The 24,545-nt window shown below is 40.5% G+C and overlaps 1 protein-coding gene and 1 pseudogene across 4 annotated transcripts in view, besides 1 other annotated feature; one reads left to right on the top strand and one right to left on the bottom strand.

The window, feature by feature from the left end:
* Nucleotides 1-24,301, top strand: part of MSL2 (MSL complex subunit 2) — a 47,419-nt gene extending 23,118 nt beyond the window's left edge. For 3 of the 4 annotated variants that reach the window (NM_018133.4, XM_011512949.3, NM_001145417.2), the window contains exon 2: nt 20,480-24,301. In NM_018133.4, coding sequence (NP_060603.2) covers nt 20,480-22,071 — 1,592 coding nt within the window. In that variant the 3' untranslated portion in view covers nt 22,072-24,301. Of the gene's footprint in view, nt 1-19,737; nt 20,367-20,479 lie in introns of those variants that run through there. The other variant, XM_005247571.4, reaches the window with a different exon arrangement.
* Nucleotides 15,366-15,865: an enhancer, noted in NCBI's record as "H3K4me1 hESC enhancer chr3:135876195-135876694 (GRCh37/hg19 assembly coordinates)". NCBI's record gives its function as "activates a minimal SCP1, AML or CMV promoter by ChIP-STARR-seq in primed H9 embryonic stem cells {active_cell/tissue: H9 hESC(primed)}" and the evidence as "EXISTENCE:reporter gene assay evidence [ECO:0000049][PMID:30033119]".
* Nucleotides 16,174-17,670, bottom strand: CRIPTOP6 (CRIPTO pseudogene 6; annotated as a pseudogene).

Genomic DNA, 24,545 nt, shown 5'->3' with positions numbered 1-24,545 from the left:
TCACTCTAGAAAGAAGTATGTTCCACCTTCTTTTGTTTGTTTGTTTGTTTATTTTGAGACAAAGTCTTGCTCTGTCGCCCAGGCTGGAGTGCAGTGGCGTGATCTCAGCTCACTGCAACCTCTGCTTTCTGGGTTCAAGCGATTTTTGTGCCTCAGCCTCCCAAGTAGCTGGGATTACAGGCGCACACCACCATGCCTGGCTGGTTTTGTATTTTTAGTAGAGGTAGGGTTTCGCCATGTTGGACAGTCAGGTCTTGAACTCCTGACCTCAAGTGATCCTCTTGCCTTGGCCTCCCAAAGTACTGGGATTACAGGTGTGAGCCACTGTGCCCGGCCCCGTAGGTCAGTTTTAAAGTTTGTATGGTGTCATGTCTGTTTCAAAAGGGGAAAAGATTAATGATCCTCATAAGATTCTGAACAACAATTTGTACTTTTTTTTTTATTAGCTCTTGAACTGAAGACGTACACATTTGTATAGTCAGATTCTCAAAGGGGTCTGTGTCAGTAAGGATTACTAAGGATTACTGAAAGGGAGTAAGGAGAGTAGATCCTATTAAGGAAACATGGGAAATACTAAAATTAATGAGGGGACAGAAGAGGATGTAGAGGAGATGACGGAGACAGTGTTAGGGGAGAAAGGAGGAGAGCATTTCAAGGGAAGAATAATGAACCAGAAGTGCCCACTACATTTGGGATTAGCAATTTTTGCCTTTCATTAGAAGACACATTCTGGTGAGAAGCTTCTGCATAGGGAATAACTGGATGGGGAGTTGCTATAGGAAGGAAGGTTGAAGGTGGAAGTGAGAGAGAGGGTATAAATAACATTAGGTATAGGTAACTGGGTGGGGGGAGTATGGGAGGTATGTGAGCCAAAGCATTGGAGGGAGAGGAGGATTTACGTAGGAGGGAAGAAGAAAAGGGTACTGTATGTGTGTATGTGTTGTCGGGGAGTGAGTATGAGTATGATGAGAGGTGGAGAGAGGGAGAATACTTAAATATGTAAACCTTCTGGTAAATTTGGAAGCATGAAAAAATTGACATAAGTAGAAATATTCAAGCTTTCATTGGACTTTATTTTGTCACGTTTATAGAAAATTTCAATATACAGGCCAGGTGCGGTGGCTCACGCCTGTAATCCCAGCCCTTTGGGAGGCCAAGGTGGGTGGATCGCTTGAGCCAGGAGTTGTGGTCCCACCTACGCAGAAGGCTGAGTTAGGAGGATTGCTTGAGCCCCAGGAGGTTGAGGCTACGATGAGCCATGACACTGCACTTCATCCTAAGCGACTGGGCAACAGAGTGGGACCCTGTCTCCAAAAAAAAGAAAAAGTTTCAACATACAAAGTAGAATAAAACTCTCACATACATACCTGTTACCTCAACATGATACCTAGTGAAAATTAATTATACCCAAATGCAAGGCTTTTGATACACCCTTTATAGACCTGGCCATACGTCTTGGAATCATCAAATTTTACAGCTGTGAAAAGAACCTAGATATTTAGTTAATAGCTTTAAGAAACTGAGGGCCAAATCACTTAGGAGCACACTATTAATATATATGACATTGTTTTACTCAAAATTTGTCAGACTTGGACAGTTACAGAATTACTGATTGTAGTGGATGCCATGATGTAATACCCAAATCCCCACTTAAGGCTTAAAGAAATTCATTCTTTTAGCTAGTGGGTGTGCTGCTGAGGCTGTGAGACCTGTCTGGGAATCATCCTTGGCTGAAGAGAGCAACTCATTCATGGTCACATGCTTTCGTTGTGAGTAGTGTGCCTCCAGGTTCTGGTTCATTAAAGTACCTGGCTCCTTGGGCCCAGCATAGGACAACCCTAAGGAGTCATTCAGCTTTAGAGTTTCTTTTGGGTCATCTGAGGCCTTTTTTGTGAGTTCATCCCAGCCACTTCCTTCCTTCCTTTACAAATGATAATCCTGAGAGAAGCTCTTCATAAGTTTTCTGCACACTAACCTGTCCTAAGAGTTTGCATGCCTAGGAATCTGACTTGTAACAGTGACTAACTTTACACTTCCTTTTGATTTGAAACAGCAATGACTTGCTAAATTTTTAAAGATTTAACATGTCTCATTTTCTCATGTTTGTGAGACATACCCAGGTAAATGTTGAGTAATAATATAATGAAAGAAAATGATTACTTTTACAATGCCAAACATACAGAAAACATTCATCATTAGGACATGTTTCGGGATGGAACAGAAAGTAGAATACTTTCTCAAACATATTGAACAAATCTTGGCATATAATTGGCCTCTTTTCCCTCCCATCATTGTTAGGGTTCTGCTACCTCATTTTTACCTCCTTTTATAAATTAAAAAGGTATCCCCCTGCCAGTTTGAGATCAGGCTTGTATTCTTTTTTGGCCTGATTGGAGTTATTTAAAAATATGGACAGGCTGGGCACAGTGGCTCACGCCTGTAATCCCAGCACTTTGGGAGGCTGAGGTGGGCGGATCACGAAGTCAAGAGATCGAGACCATCCTGGCCAACATAGTGAATGTCTCTACTAAAAATACAAAAATTAGCTGGGCATGGTGACGCACGCCTGTAGTCCCAGCTACTCGGGAGGCTGAGGCAGGAGAATCGCTTGAACCCAGGAGGCAGCAGTGAGCCGAGATCACGCCACTGCACTCCAGCCTGGCGACAGAGCGAGACTCCCATCTCAAAAAAAAAAAAAAAAAAAAAAAAGGACAGAGTTTTTTTTCCTTTTGGTCATCCTGTAGAAAATGGAAAGCTGTGAAGTATATTTGAAACAAATATGGTTGGATTGAGTCTTTATGGAAAGGTCTTGTACTTCAGTCACACAGTAGAATGACTATAGTTAACAATGGTTTTTTTTTTTTGAGAGGGATTTTTGCTCTTGTCTCCCAGGCTGGAGTGCAGTAGTGTGATGTCGGCTCACTGTAGCTTCTGCCTCCTGGGCTCAAATGATTCTCCTGCCTCAGCCTCCTGAGTAGATGGGATTACAGGCATGCACCACCACGCCCAGCTAATTTTTGTATATATATATATTTTTAAGTAGAGACGGGGTTTCACCATGTTGGCCAGGCTGGTCGTGAACCCCTGACCTCAGGTGATCTGCCTGCCTCAGCCTCCCAAAGTGCTGGGATTATAGACATGAGCCACCGCCCCGCTGATTTTTTTTTTTTTAATGGAGTCTCTCTGTCGCCCAGGCTGGAGTGCAGTGGCGCGATCCTGGATCACTGCATCTTTCACCTCCTGGGCTCAAATGATTTGTGCCTCAGCCCGAGTAACTGGGATTACAGGCATCTGCCACCACACCTGGCTACTTTTTTATTTTTAGTAGAGATGAGGTTTTACCATGTTGACCAGGCTGGTCTTGAACTCCTGACCTCAAGTGATCAATCCACCTTGGCCTCCCAAAGTGCTGGAGCGTGCCTGGCCAGTTAACCATGATTTATTGTATATTTCAAAACACGTAGAGGCTGGGTGCGGTGGCTCACGCCTGTAATCCCAGCACTTTGGGAGGCCGAGGCAGGTGGATCACCTGAGGTCAGGAGGAGTTCAAGACCACCCTGGCCAACATGGTGAAACCCCGTCTCTACTAAAAATACAAAATATTAGCTGGGCGTGGTGGTGTGCACCTGTAATCCCAGTTACTCAGGAGGTTGAGGCAGGAGAATTGCTTGAACCAGGGAGGCAGAGGTTGCAGTGAGCCCAGATTATGCCACTCCACTGCAGCCTAGGTGACAGAGTGAGACTGCGTCTCAAAAAAAACACAAAAAACAAACAACCCACCAAAACCAATAATAGGAGTGGATTTGGAATGTTCCCAACACAAGGAAATGATAAATGTTTGAGGTGATGGATATTCCAGTTAGCCTCATTTGATTGTTACAGGTTATATGCTTGTCAGAATATCACGTGTACCCCCATACATATGCACAAAAATTATGTACCCGTAACCATTTAAAAAATAAGCACCCCCCCCCCCCCCCCCCCCCGCCAAAACAACAACAACAAAAACAAGCCATGCCCCCATGGTACAGGAAAGATTTGCCTGGCAGAATCCAAGACTACATTCCTGTACAAAATAGTGGAAGATTTTCTGTTTGCAGCGTTTCAGAGTGCCTTTCCAAGATAAAGTGCGCCTCTTGTCATCCATTAAAAATGTTTTGTCATTGCTTAAGTTACCATCCTGTCTTTTGATCAAGAGCCTCACAGCCGTGTGATATGGCTGGCAACAAAATGCTTTTTGCTGTTAATAAAGGTTTTCTTTTTTTTCTTCTGTATTTTCTTCTGTATATATGATTGTAGCTATGCTTAGATGATCAGTAAAGTTATCTGGGCCATTTGGAAAGCAGTGGCTGTCAAAAAGGGTGTTATCTCATTGAACAGTAATTGCTGAGGAAATTGGTTTTAGAATTAGTGAACCTGGAAAACTTAATATTTAAAAACTTTGGTGAGTTTTTTTTTTTTATTATTATACTCAAGTTCTGGGATACATGTGCAGAACGTGCAGGTTTGTTACATAGGTGTACACGTGCCATGGTGGTTTGCTGCACCCATCAACCGGTCATCGAGGTATTTCTCCTAATGCTACTCCACCCCTAGCTCCCTACCCCCAACAGGCTCAGATGTGTGATGTTCCCCTCCTTGTATCCATGTGTTCTCATTGTTCAACTCCCACTTATGAGTGAGAACATGCGGTGTTTGGTTTTGTGTTCTTGTGTTAGTTTGCTGAGAATGATGGTTTCCAGCTTCATCCATGTCCCTGCAAAGGATATGAACTCATCGTTTTTTATGGCTGCGTAGTATTCCATGGTTTATGTGTGCCACATTTTCTTTATCCAGTAATTTTTTTGAGTATTTTAAGATAACTGGTTTGTGTTCTTTTTCTTCTTTCTTTAGTAATGATTTTAAAGTCTCACGACTGTTGTTATCCCATTTTAGCAAGTGAAGTTTTTGTCATTTTTAATTCTTTTTCTTTTGCCTTAAGAGCTTGTTTGCTTTTTTTTTGGTAGAGTTGGGGTCTCACTTCATTACCCAGCTAATCTTGAACTCCTGGCTTCAAGCGATAACTCCTGCCTTGGACTCCCAAAGTGCTGGGATTACAGGTGTGAGCCACCACTCCCAGCCATCTTGAGAACTTATTATGAGTTTCTCTGGCCGCTTTTTATTCCTGTTTTTGGTGTGGGTCCGTTTTTTGGGAAGCAAATTTAGGCTCTGATGTAAAGCATATTTTATTGAGGTACTGTGTAGATATCTCTTGTTTCATGTGGTTCTCGTCAATAAAAGCGGAAAACTGTTTCCTGTCTTTTGTAGGATGCCACATATTTTATAGCTGTTTGATTCTGTACTGTTATTTTTCTCTTTCATTACGTTGGAAAAGTTGATTGAGGGTATTACAAAAACTGATTTTTTTCCATTCCAAATATTTTCCCATATATTTAAGTATTATAAGATTTGAGTCTTCTTGTGGATACCTTGACCATTTAAAATTCTGGTTTCTGAGAATGCATCTTGGACAAATGACATGATGGTTTTAATTATAAATCACCTGCATGTGTCCATTTTTTGCTTTCTGTTAGTGGCATTTCATGATATTCATGTGAGTCTTCATTAATTTTCCTTCATCCTCATGAGTCATAAACAAAAGGTTTATGTAAAATTATTTGCATTATTTGAGGTTATTGATTAGTTAGTCCTTGCTGTAATGGAAGCATGACCAGAAAAAGAATTATGGAGAGAGGCTGGTGGTAAATACAGAATGTTTTGATTCTGAGAATTTTTTTTGTGCATATGACATTTAAATTAGAATTATATGATGCATTTTTGTCAAAGGCCAAAGTTAAGCCATTGAGGTAGTTTAATTCCTTGATATTTTTTTTTTTCTATAGAACAACTAAACCATTTTTCACTTTTACCAAGTTTTTATTTTACTGAAATTTTCATTGGGATTTCTTTTGCATGTGAACTTTAAAATGAGGATTTGATTGATAAAGTCTCTTGTTGTTCATGTTTAATTTGTCCATGTTACATTTTAATCTCTGATAATTTTTGCCATTTTATGATCATTATTATTGCCAGGTCCAGTGTTCACAGGTTTATTTTTAGTTGTTAACAAATTTTGCTAAGTATTAGCCATTATCAGTTTTATATATTTTTTTTCTTGTGCCCCTTCTCCTCATTTCCATAAACTTAATTTCTCCCATAATCTGGTCAAAGTATTTGTGACATTAAATACTTCAGTTAGAATGGAGAATTAAAAAATCTTGCTTCAGAAGTAATTAAGACATAATTTACTTGGTAGTCTGCACATCAGCATAAAATTTGTAGTACAGCTGCCTTTACCAGTAGTATTTTGAAGTGAGTGAATTACTAGTTGCTTTATTGAAAACTGGGATCAACTATGTATTTAAAGAGTTTTCCAAGAGTACTGATAACCTTGTTGTTTATCTGTGCTAAGGAGGAGTGCTCATCTCTTGTATAGAGACGGGCAAGCAATTTGAGACTTAGTTACGGTTTATTTATTTTAGCGCTATTTGCCTCTCAAACTTATGCTGCTTCAAATTTACACTGCTCTGTAAATCTTGATGCTGGCTGGCAGTGAGTCTTGTCAGGGATATGCATGAGGATAAATGCCAGTCAATCTAGGTTCTAGTTTTGGCATGTTAATACTGTAATTATTTGAATGATCTATGTTAAATTTGTTTTAATAAGAGGGAAGGTTTATTGCTTTAAAAAGCATGTTGATTCAAAAAAATATTACTTAACAAATTTTTTTTTTTCTTTTTGGTGGCTGAATTAAAGCCCCTTTCTGGGGCCTTAAAACTTACTTTTTTTTTGAGATAGAGTCTCGCTCTGTCGCCCAGGCTGGAGTGCAGTGGTGCGATCTTGTCTCACTGCCACCTCCACCTCCCGGGCTCAGACAATTCTCCTGCCTCAGCCTCCTGAGTAGCTGGGATTATAGGCGTCTGTCACCACGCCCGGCTAATTTTTGTATTTTTAGTAGAGACAGCCTGGACCATGTTGTCCAGACTGGTCTTGAACTCCTGACCTCAAGTGACCCGCCCACCTCGGCCTCCCAAAGTACTGGGATTACAGGTGTGAGCCATCGTGCCTGGCCCAGTTTTTTCTCCTGAATCTTTTTTTTTTTTTTTTTTTTTTTTTACTGGTACGTACATTTAAATATTTTATTTTAATTTTTATGGGTACATAGTAGGTGTATGTATTTGTGGGGTACATTAAATGTTTTGATACAGGCACTCAATGCATAATCATGACATCATGTAAAATCCCCTCAAGTATTTATCCTTTGTGTTACGAACAATTCCATTATACTCTTTTAGTTATCCCATTATACTCTTAACTTTAAATTTACAATTATTAGTGACTGTAGTCACCCTGTTATGCTATCAAATACTAGGTCTTATTCATTCTTTCTATTTCTTTTGTAGCCATTAACAATTAAATCTTAATCTGGTTTAAAAATTAATGATGTCTGGATTTGCTTTTTGAAATAAAGAACAGAAGATGAGTAGGTGAATTAAATGTGGCATAAGAATTATTCTGGGTTATGAGTATATGGAGGTTACTTGTATTGTGTTCTTTTGTCTGTTTGAAAGTCTCCATAATAAAAAGATTCACTCATTAAGAGCATTAAAAAATCTGATATTAAATATCTTAGTAAATTAATTATCAACAGTTATATTTTCCCAGAAATTACAAAAATTAGCATTGTGGTATCCTAAAACTATGTCTTAGCCTTAAATTTAAAATTGACTGACTTGAGGAAAAGCAGTTAAGAAGAGGGAGAGTAAATAAGAAATTGGTAACTAAACAAAAATGAAAATGTTGAGGCACAAAAATGAATATTTTTAGGGTCAATATCACATTATTTGTTTAGACAGAGCACATAAATATCATTCGTTTAGTTATATGTCCACTTATGAAAAGGATGGTAATCGTGAAATATTGCAGATAAGGTTTCAAGGCAGTGCAGTGAGACTTTTTTTTTTTTTTTTTGTCACGAACTTTACATTTTTTTTTAAAAGTCTGGGCTTGTGCGGTGGCTCATGCCTGTAATCCCAGCACTTTGGGAGGCCAAGGCGGGCGGATCACCTGAGCGCCAGCAGTTCAAGACCAGCCTGGCCAACATGGTGAAACCCCGTCTCTACTAAAAATACAAAAAATTAGCCAGACGCAGTGGTGCTCACCTGTGGTCCCAGCTGCTCGGGAGGCTGAGGCGGGAGAATTGCTTGAACCTGGGAGATGGAGGTTGCGGTGAGCCAAGATCACGCCACTGCACTCCAGGTGGGCAACAGAGCGAGACTTCGACTCAAAAAAAAAAAGTCTGAAGGTGTGTATTTTGAGTGAGTCTTTTTTTGTACTTGTGTGTGTAACTATATGGAACACGATCTATGCTAAATCAAACCTTTCCTTAAACACTCCACAGTTTTTATAGGAGAATCTACCAGTGACTGACATATTTCCTCCTGTTGTATATTGCCCATCCATTTTATTTTCTAGGATAAGATGCATTTTTTTTTCCAACAAATTCAAGTATGTTGTCTGGTATTTCTTAAGTTGGAGGTGGGGGGTTTCTTAGAGACATAGTTAGATATTTGATTAACTGTGATCCCAGCTAAGAAGCTCCTGAATGACTCTTTTCTATTTCTCACATCATTGGAGCTGCCTTCATTGTGAAGTGTATAGAGAACCCTTGGGGAAACTTTGAAGAGTTAGGATGGTTATCTGAGTGCATAAAGTTAGTTTGCCAATGGGCATCTTTAATAGTTAAGTTTCAGATATTTGTGGTGGGGAATGGTGGGCAGTCTGTGAAGCTAAGTGAGTTTTGGTGCCTTCCAGCTTATTTTCATTTCTCAACAGTTGGCATGGTTACTCTTCTAAAACCTCATAGAAGACTAAAGACATGTAGAGTATGAGTCCTTTAAGGTGCTCCATGGTTAGCGGAGGTTTTGATTAACATATTAGCTGGATTATTCCTGTGAGGAGAAACTTCTCCATGATTTGGTGGTATATTTCCTAAAGTTAAATTAGGACAAATACTTGATTCTTGCTCTTATTTACTAGTTTTCAGACTCATGAGCTGCTTCACTAATATCCTGAAACTGATTTTGTTTTCTTTTTTAAAAAAATGAACTCAGATTTGAACATTTTAGATGTGCTTCATTTCATTGCATTTATGCATTGTATTAGTCTGTTTTCATACTGCTATAAAGAACTGCCTGAGACTGGGTAATTTACAAAGGAAAGAGGCTTAATTGACTCACAGTTCAGCATGGCTGGGGAGGCCTCAGGAACTTAACAATCTTGGTGGAAGACAAAGAGGGGAAGCAGGGCACCTTCTTCACATGGTGGCAGGAAGGAGAAGTGCCCAGTGAAGGGAGGAAGAGCCCCTTATAAAACCATCAGATCTCCTGAGAACTGATTATCACAAGAACAGCTGGGGAAACTGCTCCCATGATTCAGTTATCTCCACCTGGTCTGTCCCTTGGCACATGGGGATTATGGGGATTACAATTCAAGATGAGATTTGGATGGGGACACAAAGCCTAATTATATCATGCATGTTTAGATTTTCTTGTCTTTGGCCAGTGGGAACCTCTTCAGGTTTGCCCCGAGTCTTGATTTTGATAGTTTCTCTGCTTCCTGGCATAACAAGGTGATCAAAACTCCTCTTGTGCAATTCATGGCACAAACTTGAAATTAGCCATTTGTCCAAGAAGCTCTGATTCCTTTGAAAAGGAAATTGTTTTTCAATCCTGTAATCTGTATTCATTGCTGCTGGGGTTCTTTGTTTCCAGGCCTCTTCAGTGGATAGTGCTAGGAAATACACACACACATAGTGCTAGGAAATACACATTTAAGATTAAAACATGAGTTCATAGTGTTAAGTCCAGTTGAAATTCATTTTAGGGCTACAGGATTTATATTTATATTTATATTTATTTGAGACGGAGTCTCGCTCTGTTGCCCAGGTTGGAGTGCAATGGTGCGATCTCAGCACACTGCATCCTCCACCTCCTGGGTTCAAACAGTTCTCCTGCCGTAGCCTTCCGAGTAGCTGGGATTACAGGCGCCCACCACCATGCCCAGCTAATATGTTGTATTTTTAGTAGAGACGGGGTTTCACCATGTTCACCAGGCTAGTCTTGAACTCCAGGTCTACAGGATTTTTAATGTAACCTTTTCTCTCTTAACAACTTTCCTCCTCCTCCCTACTGAAAAAAAAAAAAAAAATCCAAGTCCTCAAGGCATTAACATTGACTTTTTATCCCACGGTATGCACTAACACTTTTGTAATTATTATCAACACTGCCGCCAACAGTGTGGTTACTGAAAATAAGAAAAATGAGGATTGCAAGGATTGAGCCAATTTTCTGTGTTATAGTCATTCGAAATAGTTACTCTTTGGATTGTTATACCACCAATTTGATATAAAATTATGGTTACTTTATTTTGGTTTTCAGAGATTTCATGTAACATTTTGGTTTTGTTACACTATTATATAAAATATTTACATGGTTTGAAAGTAAAATCTATAAGACAGATTAAACTCAGAGCAGTGTTTTCCTATTTCACTTTGTTCTGTCTCTCCCTCCTAATTGGTAGCCCTTTTATTTTGTTTTTGAGACAGGTGCAGGCTCTGTTGCCCAGGCTGGACCGCAGTGGCGCAATCTCGGCTCACTGCAACCTCTGGCCCAGGCTCAAGCCATCGTCTCATCTTAGCCTCTTGAGTAGCTGGGACTAAGGTGCGTGCCAGCGTCCATGGCTAATTTTTTTTATTTTTTGTAGAGATGGGGTTTTGCCATATTGCCCAGGCTGGTTTCTAACTCCTGAGATAAGTGATCTGCCTACGCTGGCCTCTCAAACTGCTGGGATTACAGGTGTGAGCCACCACACCTGGCCTGGTAGCCCTCTTTTTTTTTTTTTTTTAAAAACCTTATGGTTTATCTTTTCAAATGCATATATAGGGCCAGGTGTTGTGGCTCATGCCTGTAATCCCAGCACTTTGGGAGGCTGAGGTGTGTGGATCACGAGGTCAGGAGTTCGAGACCAGCCTGACCAACATGGTGAGACCCCGTCTCTACTAAAAATAAAAAATTAACCAGGCGTGGTGGCGGGCACCTGTAAATCCCAGCTACTCGGGAGACTGAGGCAGGAGAATTGCTTGAACCCAGGAGGCAGAGGTTGTAGTGAGCCGAGATCACGCCACTGTGCTCTAGCCTGGGCGACAGAGAAAGACTCCGTCTTGAGAAAAAAAAAATGCATATATATGTATTTTTTTCCCTTCCTATCCCTTGTGTCCTTCCTTAGATGAAGCTAAGGACACTCTTTAAGGGATCCTTGCATTGGCATTAGGTAGAAGGTTGGATTCTGTAACTATTGGTGCCTTGTCTTAAAGTGTTATTTTTAAATTTTAGAGTTGTGTAACCATCACCACTATCTGATTTTAGAACACTTTCATCCCCCTAAAAGGTTCCATTGTGCCCATTTACTGTTAATGACTGCTCCACTCTCAGCCCTAGGCAACCACTGTTTTTCTGCTTTCCTATCATTTCTGGGCATTTTATATAAATGGAATTATGCAATAATGTACTCTTGTATCTGCTTCTTTCACTTAGCAAATGTTTTGGAAGTTCATCCATGTTGTGGCATGTACCAATACTTTATTCCTTTAAATTGCTGAACTCCATTGCATGAATATACATTTTGTTTATCTACTCACCAATTAATGGACATTTGGATTGTGTCTAATTTTTGGCCATTAGGAATCATGCTGCTGTGCACATTCACATACGTTTTTCTGTGTGGATATGTTTTTATTTCTCTTTAGGTAGGTTCCTAGGAGTAGAATTTTGCTGGTTTCTATGGTAAATTTGTGTCTTAACTTTTTAAGAAACTACCAAACTGTATTTCAGTGTGATTGTTGTACCTGTTTTACATTTTACGAGCAGTATATAAGGGTTCCAGTTTCTTCACATCTTTGCCAACTTTTGGCATTGTTGTTTTGAATTTAGCCATTCTAATGGGTGGGCAGTAGTGTGCCACAGTTTTACTTTGACTAATAATATTGAGCATATTTTCATGTGCTTATGGTCATTCATTTTACTTTATTTTTTGAGATGGAACCTTTGCTCTGTCGTCAGGCTGGAGTGCAGTGGCGCTCTCTTGGCTCACTGCAACCTCCGCCTCCCGGGTTCAAGTGATTCCCCTGCCTCAGCCTCCCGAGTAGCTGGGATTACAGGCATGCACCACCATGCCTGGCTAATTTTTTGTATTTTAGTAGAGATGGGGTTTCACCGTGTCGGCCAGGATCGTCTCGATCTCCTGACCTCGTGATCTGCCCATCTTGTCCTCCTAAAGTGCTGGGATTACTGGTGTGAGCCACTGTGCCCGGCTGGTCATTCATATATTTTCTTTGGTGAAATGTTTATTCAGATTTTTGCTTTTAAAATTATATTGTCATTTTACCGATTTGAATTTTTTTTTTTTTAATTGAGATGGAGGCTTGCTGTGTCTCCCAGGCTGGAGTGCAATGGCATGGTCTCGGCTCGCTGCACCTCCGCCTCCTGAGTTCAAGCGATTCTCCTGCCTCAGCCTCCTGAGTAGCTGGGACTACAGGTGCATGCCACCACAGCCAGCTAATTTTTGTATTTTTAGTGGAGATGGGGTTTTACTGTGTTGGCCAGGCTGGTCTCGAACTCCTGAACTGCCCGCCTCGGCCTTCCGAAGTGCTGGGAGTGAGCCCCCACGCCTGGCTTGCATTGTTTTTTTTTTTTTAATTGTGATTTGCAAATATTTTCTCTCAGTCTGTGGTTTATTTTTGATCTCCCTCCCTCCCTCCCTCCCTCCCTCCCTCCCTCCCTCCTTCCTTCCCTCCTTCCCTCCCTCCCTCCTTCCTTCCCTCTTTTTTTTTTTTTTTTTTTTTTTGAGACAGAGTCTTTCTCTGTCGCCCAAGCTGGAGTGCATTGGCACCATCTTGGCTCACTGCAACCTCTGCTTCTCAGATTCAAGCAATTCTCCTGCCCCAGACTCCTGAGTAGCTGGGACTACAGGCGTGTGCCATCACGCCTAGCTAATTTTATTTTATATTTTTAGTAGAGACAGGGTTTTGCCACATTGGCCAGGCTGGTCTTGAACTCCTGACCTCACGTGATCTGCCCACCTTAGCCTCCCAAAGTGCTGGGATTACAGGTGTGAACCACCTCGCCTGACCATTTTTTCATTTTCTTAATGGTGTCTTTTGTTGAAGCACAGTAAGTTTTTAATTTTGAGAAAATCCATTTAACTATTTTTTTTTCCTTTTTGTGAATTGTGCATTTGATGTCACGTATAAGAACACTTTGGCCAATAGAAAGTTACAAAGATTTTCTTCTCCGTTTTCTTCTAGAATTTCTATATTTTAGCTCTTACATTTAGGTTTGTGATCATTTTAATTTTTGTGTATGTTGTGAGGTAAGGGTATAAGTTTGTTTTTTTCCTTTTGGCATTTGGATATCAAATTGTTTCACATGGTATGTTGAAAATACTCTCCTTGGCCAGGCGTGGTGGCTCACGCCTGTAATCGCAGCACTTTGGGAGGCCGAGGCGGGCGGATCACGAGGCCAGGAGATCAAGACCATCCTGGCTAACACGGTGAAACCTCGTCTCTACTAAAAATGCAAAAAAAAAAAAAATAGCTGGGCGTGGTGGCGGGCGCCTGTAGTCCCAGCTACTCGGGAGGCTGAGGCAGGAGAACGGTGTGAACCCGAGAGGCGGAGCTTGCAGTGAGCCGAGATGGCACCACTGCACTCCAGCCTGGGCGACAGAGCGAGAATCCGTCTCAAAAAAAAAAAAAAAAAAAAAAAAAAAGAAAGTACTCTCCTTTCCCCATTGAATCATCTGGATACCCTGTCGCACAAATTGGTTGACCATAAATGTAATAATTTGTTTCTGGACTCTGAATTCTGTTCCACTGATGCATGTGTCTATACTTTTGTCATTACCACACTGTCTTGATTACTATGGCTTTATAGTAAAATTTGGAATTTGGTAGTGTAAGTCCTGTAATTTTGTTGTTTTTCAAAGTTGTTTTGCCTGTCCTCTGTGATTCCATATGAATTTTAGGATCAGCCTGTCAATTTCTTTAAGAAAAAAAGCTGCCTGGGATTAAAGATTGCATTGAACTTACAGACACATCAATTTTGGGGAAAACTGCCATCTTGACAATATATTGGTAGTCTTCTAATCCATGAACATGTCTGTTTAGATACTCTTTAATTTCTTTCAGCTGTGTTTTGTAGTGCTGAGTGTAGAAGTCTTTGTTAAAGTTTTTCTAAATATTTTAAGTATATTCTTGATGCTATTGTGAATGGAATTTTAAAAAATTAGTTTGTTCATTCCTAGCATATAGAAATGGAAAATGCAGTGGACTTTTGTATATATTGTTTGTGCTATGACCTTGCTAAATTTGCTTATTGGTACTAGTAGTTTGCGTGTGTGCGTTTTTTGAGATTTTCTGTAAGCAGAATTGTGTAATCCATTACTAAAACAATTTTACTTGTTTCTTTTTAGTCTTGATGCCTTTTTTTTTCTTTTCCTTTTGAACCTTACTGCACCAGCTAGAACAAGTACAATTTTGAAAAGAAGTGGCAACAGCAGGCATCCTTTCCTTGTTCCTGATCTTTGGAAGGAAAGCGTTGTGTTTTACCTTTAAGTAAAGTTGGCTTTAGATTTTTTGGTGCCCACCACCATCAAGTTAAAGAAGTTCAATTTCTCGTTTGTGAATTTGTGTGTGTGTGTGAATAGGTATTGTATTATATGTTGTGGAATTCTCTTGAATGTTTTGTTATGGATTTTGTCATGTTTATGGGAGATTTTGGTTTGTATTTTCTTTTTTTTTTTTTTAATTTTAATTTTTTTGAGATGATTTAGTTGCCCAGGCTGGAGTGCAGTGGCATGATCTCGGCTCACCGCAGCCTCCGCCTCCTGGATTGAAGCGATTCTCCTGCCTCAGCCTCCTGAGTAGCTGGGATTACAGGCATGCGCCACCACGCCCGGCTAATTTTTGCATTTTTAGTAGAGATGGGGTTTCTCCATGTTGGTCAGGCTGGTCTCGAACTCCCCACTTCAGGTGATCCGCCCACCTTGGCCTCCCAAAGTGTTGGGATTACAGGCGTGAGCCACTGCTCCCGGCGGTTTGTATTTTCTTTTGTCTGGTGGCCTTGTTTTCTTTCATAGTAGTTACTGGCCTTTAAATATGAGTTGGGAAGTGTTTTCTCCTCCTCTATGTTTGGGTGTTATTCCTTTTTAATTATTTGTTAGAATTTACCAGTGAAGGCATTTAGCCCTGGAGTCTTCTTTTGAGGAAAATCTTCAGTGGCTATTTAAAACTTTTATTACAGGTCTATTCAGTTTTAAAACTTTTTCTCCAGTGAATTTTGGTCATTTGTGTCTTTAGAGAAATGTATCCATTTCATCGAAGTAGTCTAAAATTGTTGGCATAAAGTTGTTCATAGGGCTTCCTTAATTCTTCACATTTTGTAGGGCACTAGTGATACTCTGACTCCTTTCATTTCTAATTTTGGTAATTTGTATTCTTGTTTTCTTTGATCTTTTAAAACAACCAACTTTTGGTGTTATTTATTTTTCTCTTTGGTTTTTCTGCTTTCTCTTGTATTGGTTTCTGCCCTAATCTGTATTCATTTATTTATTTTCGTTTTTTTGAGTTGGAGTCTGGCTCTGTCGCCCAGGCTGGAGTTGAGTGGCACTATCTTGGCTCACTGCAACCTCTCCTCCCAGGTTCAAGCAGTTCTCCTGCCTCAGTCTCTGAGTAGCTGGGATTACAGGTGTTCACCACCCTTGGATAATTTTTGTATTTTTAGTAGAGACAGGGTTTTACCATATTGGCCAGGCTGGTGTCGAACTCCTGACCTCAGGTGATTGGCCCGCCTTCCTGACCTCAGGTGATCGGCCCGCCTTCCTGACCTCAGGTGATCGGCCCGCCTTCCTGACCTCAGGTGATCAGCCCACCTTGGCCTCCCAAAGTGATGAGATTACAGGTGTGAGCCACTGTGGCCTGCTCTAATCTTCATTATTTGCTTTAACCTGATTAGTTTGGGATTCCTATTAAGGTGAAAGAAAGCTTTGGTTATTGACTTGAGACTTTGCTTTTTTATTTTTTATATTTTCTATTTTTACTGTGCATACACATATATACAGTGTGTTTTAAAAATGGGCTTTACAATATGTAGTTTTATCACTCGGTTTACAACTAAATATATTGTGAACATTTTCTCTTCTTCAACAGTTAAAAGGATTGCATAGCTTGGAGGAAACATAATTTATTTATTTATTTAGTTTGTTTGCTTTTGAGATGGAGTCTGGCTCTGTCGCCCAGGCTGGAGTGCAGTGGCGCCATCTTGGCTCACTGCAAGCTCCGCCTCCTGGGTTCACGCTATTCTCCTGCCTCAGCCTCCCGAGTAGCTGGGACTACAGGCGGCTGCCACCACGCCCGGCTAATTTTTTGTATTGATGGGGTTTCACCGTGTTAGCCAGGATGGTCTCAATCTCCTGACCTCGTGATCCGCCTGCCTTGGCCTCCCAAGGTGCTGGATTACAGGCGTGAGCCACTGTGCCCGGCCAGAAACATAATTTATTAAGCCATCTTGTTGGGGATATTGAGGCATAATTTTTTTTCTAAGGAGACTTCATTCTTTTTACAATGCTTTTGGGAAAAAAGGGGGAGCCCTTGTCTTATATAGCTTTCTGTAGATGATGGAAACTTGCCTTTCCATTTAGCCTTTTAACTTGCTTCTCTACACCCACCTAATCACCAGTCAAGTAACCCATTTTATGTTTTCCAACCTCCCTCTCCCATTTGCTTCCCATTTCCTTCCACATGCAGACGGACTTCCATTACTTCAGCACTCTGGTTCCTCCCCTTAAAGAGGCTTTTTTTCCTTTTAGAGACTACTTTGATTTTGATCAGCTGTACTCAAAACTGTATCCTAAGTTTCGCATTAGGATTAATCTTTAATAATCTGAAGATATAATTCAGTTGTTTAAAAGAACATATTAAGAAGACCTTGGTAGAATTACATGTATCAAGAAATACTGGACTCCAGCACAGTGGAGATATAGCTGATTTCCTTTTGAAAAAGGTAGTTTTTTGGGGGAGGGCAGGGCAGAGAGGTAAGAAGTAGTTGGTACTATAAGGAAATGTTAGAGACCATTATGGAAATGTATTCATTATTTTAAAGCATAAGAGTGGTACATGCAGACAGTAGTAGTTCTGGAGTATTGGAAACCATGAGGTGCTCATCCATCACAAGGCCATCACAGCCAGGTAGAAATGCCTGAGGAAAGCAGCGGAGCTGGCCATGCCAGCATTTACACATAGAACAGTTCTTGGGCAGCCGGGTGTCACGGGGCACAGACCCACAGTTCTCTTTGCATACGTACATGGTGCTCACAATTCCGTCTGTAGAAGGAGGGGAAGCAGGCACAAAAGGACCCCAGCATACAAGTTCCCCCCATTCAGGCAGCAGGTTTTGTTTAGCTCGTTACTGTCCTGTATCCCCATGGGCGGCACAGGTTGGGAAGGCTGAGGATGAAAAGCAGGCTCCTCTTGGGGTTGAATGCTGTCATCTCTGAAGGCCAGGTCTCCCTGAGATGGACACCCCTTTCTTTTTTTAAATTTATTTATTTATTTTTTTGAGGTGGAGTTTTGCTCTTATTGCCCAGGCTTGGAGTGCAATGAATGGCACGATCTCCGCTCACTGCAACCTCTGCCTCCCAGGTTCAAACGATTCTTTTGCCTCAGCCTCCCAAGTAGCTGGGATTACAGGCATGCACCACCATGCCCAGCTAATTTTGTTATTTTAGTAGAGACAGGGTTTCACCATGTTGGTCAGGCTGGTCTTGAACTCCTGACGTCAGGTGATCCATGTGCCTTGGCCTCCCAAGGTGCTGGGATTACAAGCATGAGCCACCGCATCCAGCGTCTTTTTTTTTTTTTCCAGACAGTCTTGCCCTGTCGCCAGGCTGGAGTGCAGTGGCACCATACTCAGCTCATTGCAACCTCTGCCTCCCGGGTTCAAGCGATTGTCCTGCCTCAGCTCCCCCGAGTAGCTGGGACTACAGGCGTGTGCCACCACTCCCAGCTAATTTTTGTATTTTTAGTAGAGATGGAGTTTCACCATGTTGGCCAGGATGGTCTCAGTCTCTTGACCTCGTGATCTGCCTACCTCGGCCTCCCAAAGTGCTGGGATTTGCAGTTGTGAGCCACTGCGCCCTGCCCAGCCGCTTTCTTAAAATGTATTATAATTTTTTTTAGAGACAGGGTCTTGCTGTCTTGCCCAAGCTGGTCTTGAACTCCTGGGCTTAAATGAGTGTCCACCTCTGCCTCTCAGAGAGCTAGAACAACAGGCACGTGCCACTGTGCCTAGCTTAAGACCTTATTTTCTGATACAGACTTTCAGAGCTATAGATTTCCCACTAAACACTGCTTTAGTTGCATTCTCCAAATTTTGATATGTGGTGTTTTCATTTGGTAAATGTTTTCTCAGTTTCTCTTATGATGTTTTTGGCTTATAAGTTATTTTGGTATATGTTTAATTTCCAGATACTTGGGGATTTTTCTCATTTTTTTTTTTCCCACTGATTTCTAATTTCTGTTGTGGTTGAACATATTCTTTGTGTGATTTATGAGAAGAGGTACCGCTTTGGGTAATTGCTGACCATTTGTCTGGATTGGGAACCAAGGAGCAGTTGCAGCTTTGGAGAGTAAGAGTGGAGATGGGAACTGGGTCTAGTTCCTTTCCCTTCTTGGTTTGTATGTATATGTCATTGATAATTTGAGAATTGTGTCAAGTCGGGGGACTACTTCATTATACTGTATTGTCGCAGTTAGGATACTTGTGGTTTATAATTAAACCATGGTCGTTTTGAAATCTGTCAGAAGAATTTGAGCCCAGTATTATACCCTAGTTTTGTTTTCTTTAATAAGTTTAAATATAATTTTTTCCATTTTGTATTTTTTTCTAGAAGAATTTGAGTTGAGTAGTACTCCTTTTTTCTTTGTTTTAATGTAGTTGAACATAGTTCTCTCCTACTGAAACTCCTTTTTTTTTTTTTTTAAATGAGACGGAGTTTTGCTCTTGTCGCCCAGGCTGGAGTGCAGTGACACAATCTCAGCTCGCTGCAACCTCCGCCTCCTGGGTTCAAGGGATTCTCCTGCCTCAGCCTCCTGAATAGCTGGGATTACAGGTGCCCATCACCCTGCCCGGCTAATTTTTGCGTTTTTAGTAGAGACAGGGTTTCACCATGTTGGCCAGGCTAGTCTCAAAGTCCTGACCTCAGGTGATCTGCCCACCTCAGCCCCCCAAAGTGCTGGGGTTACAGGCATGAGCCACCACACCTGGCCTTTTTTTTTTTGAGACTAAGTCTCGCTCTATTGCTTAGGCTGGATTGCAGTGGTGTGATCTCAGCTCACTGCTACCTCAGTTTCCTGGGTTCAAGTGATGCTCCTGCCTCAGCCTCCCTAGCAGCTGGGACTACAGGTGCGTACCACCATGCCCGGTTAATTTTTTTGTATTTTTAATAGAAATGGGGTTTTACCATGTTGGCCAGGCTGGCCTTGAACTCCTGACCTCAGGTGATCCGCCCACCTCAGCCTCCCAAAGTGCTGGGATTATAGGCATGAGCCACTGTGTCCGGCCTGAAATGACATTTTGATCTTTTTTCTTTAAAGTTTATGATTAGTATATATGCATTAAAAACTGGTTGAAAAAATTTTTTTTTCTGTGAAGATACTTTTCTACTGATGAATGCCCTCAAGACTATCTTTTATGAGGGCAGGGACTAAATCTCTCTTACTCATATCTGTTTCCCCAGTGTCCAGCAAAAAATAATCAATATGATTTTGTTCAGCATGTTGTAGCATTGCCATGTTGTGTTAGGTTGAGGTCCAAAGGGTTTTGGTTTTGTTTTTGAGACAGGGTCTCGCTTTGTCACCCAGGCGGGAGTGCAGTGGCAAGATCATAGTTCACCGTAGCCTGAACTCTAGGGCTCAAGCCATCACCTCAGCCTCCTGAATAGCTGGGATTACAGGCACACACCACCACACCTGGCTATCCAAAGGGTTTTAACCCTAGTTTGTGCTTCTGGTGTCTGATCTTCACCTCTTTAACTTTATAGCCTTTGGAGGAAGAGGATAAGAAGGTGGACCAGAACGTATTGCTTGGGGAGAGAGACACAGAATCAAGGATGATTTTGGTTTGAGATAACTGAATGGGGAATATGGCATGAAATCAAGCGAGCTAATTGAAGATTCTTCCGTTTCTTCTAAGATATATTTTCTGTTATCTGGTCTAGTGAGTTTAATTCATCTCAATTTTGATAGACTACTTATGTCATCTAAACTTCAGTTTATGAAATGGTAAATTTATTTTACTAAAATCTTTGCTTTCCTCCTTCTCCCCCTTAGGACATTTGCTACAAGATCCTATTGCACCCACCAACTCCACCTGCCAACATTATGTCTGCAAAACTTGTAAAGGCAAGAAAATGATGATGAAACCTTCCTGTAGCTGGTGCAAAGACTATGAGCAGTTTGAGGAAAACAAGCAGTTAAGCATCCTAGTGAACTGCTACAAAAAACTATGCGAGTATATAACACAGACTACACTGGCACGGGATATAATAGAAGCAGTTGACTGTTCTTCTGATATTTTGGCTTTGCTTAATGATGGATCATTGTTTTGTGAGGAGACAGAAAAACCCTCAGATTCATCCTTTACTTTGTGTTTGACACATTCCCCTTTACCTTCAACCTCAGAACCCACAACTGATCCTCAAGCTAGTTTATCTCCAATGTCTGAAAGCACCCTCAGCATTGCTATTGGCAGTTCTGTTATCAATGGTTTGCCTACTTATAATGGGCTTTCAATAGATAGATTTGGTATAAATATTCCTTCACCTGAACATTCAAATACGATTGACGTATGTAATACTGTTGACATAAAAACTGAGGATCTGTCTGACAGCCTGCCACCCGTTTGTGACACAGTAGCCACTGACTTATGTTCCACAGGCATTGATATCTGCAGTTTCAGTGAAGATATAAAACCTGGAGACTCTCTGTTACTGAGTGTTGAGGAAGTACTCCGCAGCTTAGAAACTGTTTCAAATACAGAGGTCTGTTGCCCTAATTTGCAGCCGAACTTGGAAGCCACTGTATCCAATGGACCTTTTCTGCAGCTTTCTTCCCAGTCTCTTAGCCATAATGTTTTTATGTCCACCAGTCCTGCACTTCATGGGTTATCATGTACAGCAGCAACTCCGAAGATAGCAAAATTGAATAGAAAACGATCCAGATCAGAGAGTGACAGTGAGAAAGTTCAGCCACTTCCAATTTCTACCATTATCCGAGGCCCAACACTGGGGGCATCTGCTCCTGTGACAGTGAAACGGGAGAGCAAAATTTCTCTTCAACCTATAGCAACTGTTCCCAATGGAGGCACAACACCTAAAATCAGCAAAACTGTACTTTTATCTACTAAAAGCATGAAAAAGAGTCATGAACATGGATCCAAGAAATCTCACTCTAAAACCAAGCCAGGTATTCTTAAAAAAGACAAAGCAGTAAAGGAAAAGATTCCTAGTCATCATTTTATGCCAGGAAGTCCTACCAAGACTGTGTACAAAAAACCCCAGGAAAAGAAAGGGTGTAAATGTGGGCGTGCTACTCAAAATCCAAGTGTTCTTACATGCCGAGGCCAACGCTGCCCTTGCTACTCTAACCGCAAAGCCTGCTTAGATTGTATATGTCGTGGCTGCCAAAACTCCTATATGGCCAATGGGGAGAAGAAGCTGGAGGCATTTGCCGTGCCAGAAAAGGCCTTGGAGCAGACCAGGCTCACTTTGGGCATTAACGTGACTAGCATTGCTGTGCGTAACGCTAGTACCAGCACCAGTGTAATAAATGTCACAGGGTCCCCAGTAACGACGTTTTTAGCTGCCAGTACACATGATGATAAAAGTTTGGATGAAGCTATAGACATGAGATTCGACTGTTAAATCAGTGGGTCTTTTAAACCTACTCCTGGTAGGGAAATAGCTACAGTTTTACGGCAGCTATGGTTCTGTTGGTTTAACTTGCCGGAGCTCCTGCATATAGATCACTTGTATCAAGTGTTTTCATTGCTAAGTTATATGTGTTAGTGTCGGGGAAATAGTTTGCAGATAATGGAGGAGTAACCCTACAACTATATGTCCTTAGTTCTTACAGAACCTCATAGTTTGAGAACAAAGCTGATGCAACTGATTTATACAAAATGAACTTTGGCAAGAAAAATAACATTAACCTCATTGTTTATGGCCATGCTTTGTGCATAATCAAAGTTTATGATTAAATGTAAGGAAGTGGTATCTAGTCAGTCCATAAAGATTGTGCTAATTTTTTTGTGGAAAAGTAGCCATTAGTTCAGGAAACTCAGTGCTGCCTTCAGATGTCATTGATGTTTCTCCTGTTGGAAAGCTGATGTGTCCAGCTCAACCTTTGTGCTGACATCATACCATTTCTGATCATGAAATATTGGCTACTGGTGTATGTAGCAGTTCTTAAATCAGCAGTATTATGAAAAAAAATTCCCCCTCATTAGAATGTTTAAGAAATCTTTTTAAAAAGTAAAATTCTGTCAGACTACAAATGTTTAGCTGTTACTCATTTCTAGGGAAGAAATTCTAAATCCCTCCTTCACTTTGAGCAGTGTTCTAATTGGATAAATGAAGGAGAGTAGTTTTATTCTGAAGGTAATTAAATTTAGACTATGTAGTATGTGACAGAATTTTTTTAAAATTATAAAAAGATTTTATTTAGTAATTGGGATTTACTTAAAATAATTTTGGAATAATGCTCCCAGACTTGCCCAGATTTGTGTATTGTACTTATTGCCACTGGCCGCCACTTTGACTTATTTTCTCTAATAGTTTATTTGCCACAGTCTTTATTTTGAATATGCTCCTAGTTTTTTTTTAGGGTGCTGTTCATTATGAAGGCTTCTTTATAGAGGCCTAATAAGAATGCCTTTTTATAAAGCCTGTGCATTTAGGTAGGTTGAAGCTAGGAGGATTTTCTTTAGAATGCTCTTTTGCATGTAAAGCACAAAGTATGTTTCAGTTTAAATGCACTTCTTCCGGTTAATTTTTATGGGGAAGACAAGTGAGTCACAAACATTCTGTTGAAGGGAAATCTAGTCAGTTGCTTGAAAGAGCACAGCCCAAATAAAACAAGGACTGACTAGGTGTAATGAAATAACCTGTGATTTAAAAGAAGAGCTGCAGCTTTGACAGTGCTTATTTAAAGAAAAATACTGCTGGAAAATTTCCAATTTCTACTACGTTCACCATCTCTAGTAAGATCTGACATATGCTGAAGTTATGTTTTGATTTGGCACACAGCATGTTCAATGATGGTTACTCGCCTAGTACAAGACATGGAGAAGAAACCTTTGGACACAGAGCAGATGACACCTCCTTCTGTTTTGTAGTGTATCCTGGTGTCATTTTCTGTGAATGTGGTCAGGTAGAGTTGTTTTTGTTGTTGTTGTTGGGCTTTTTTTTCTTTTTTTTTTTTTGGTCTCTTTTGGTGGGGTGGGGGTGGGCTAAAGCCATAGGAAGAAAAATGTGATGTATGTGTCCAGTATGTACTATTTTGTTTTTGTTTTGCAAGAAGAGTTGAACTATTTTTGATAACAAGAGTAAATGGTGGAAAATGCTTCTTAGTTGTCTTGTCTTTATTTGCTTTCCAAGATTTGGAATTTTATTTAATTCCTTTAAGTGTTAGCAGTGTCTTATGAAACGTGTATTTACCTAACGTTTGTAACAGTTTTGTGTTGAACCCAGATGCCCTGCTATATAAAGTTGTAAATCTGTTCTTTATTCACTAATGATCACTGCAAAAATGATTAGAAATGAGATTGTACACATGGATGAGGATATATTTTGCAAATCGACCAAACTTTCCTAATATTATGATCTTAAAATTCATAGAGTACTTTATTGCTTCCCAAGTTTGATAATCTTGTGGGTTTTTTTTTTTTTTTGATGCATGGGAGGTTGGCAATATAGACAAAGTGGAAATCATTAGTATGTGAGGGCCTTGATTGTTATGTAATATTGCCAATGATGAATTCAGGTTGTTTTTAGCACAAGTTTCTCTTTTTTATGCTGGTATTCTCACTGCCACATTTTTGGAAACCTGTATTACACCTTAAATCTATCAATAAATGATAGTTTTCTAATTCTATGTTGTAGAATACTGAAGAGTTTGGGATAGCATGCTCTGAATGGTCTGTATTATATACATCTGGGGAAGAGTAATCACAGTGCCTTGATTTTTATATTATTTTTCTTTATACCACGAGTTACTTAGGAATGCTGACAAATGGCTAACGAGGGATGATTGAGAGATTATTACTGAAGTAACTGGATTTACTTCATCAGGATTTGAAACCACCAAAGAACAGCAGCATTTAATAAGACACATCCTG

Source organism: Homo sapiens, chromosome 3 (assembly GCF_000001405.40).
Source record: "Homo sapiens chromosome 3, GRCh38.p14 Primary Assembly".
Lineage (NCBI taxonomy): Eukaryota > Metazoa > Chordata > Mammalia > Primates > Hominidae > Homo > Homo sapiens.
This window is presented reverse-complemented; position numbering and strand designations above follow the sequence as displayed.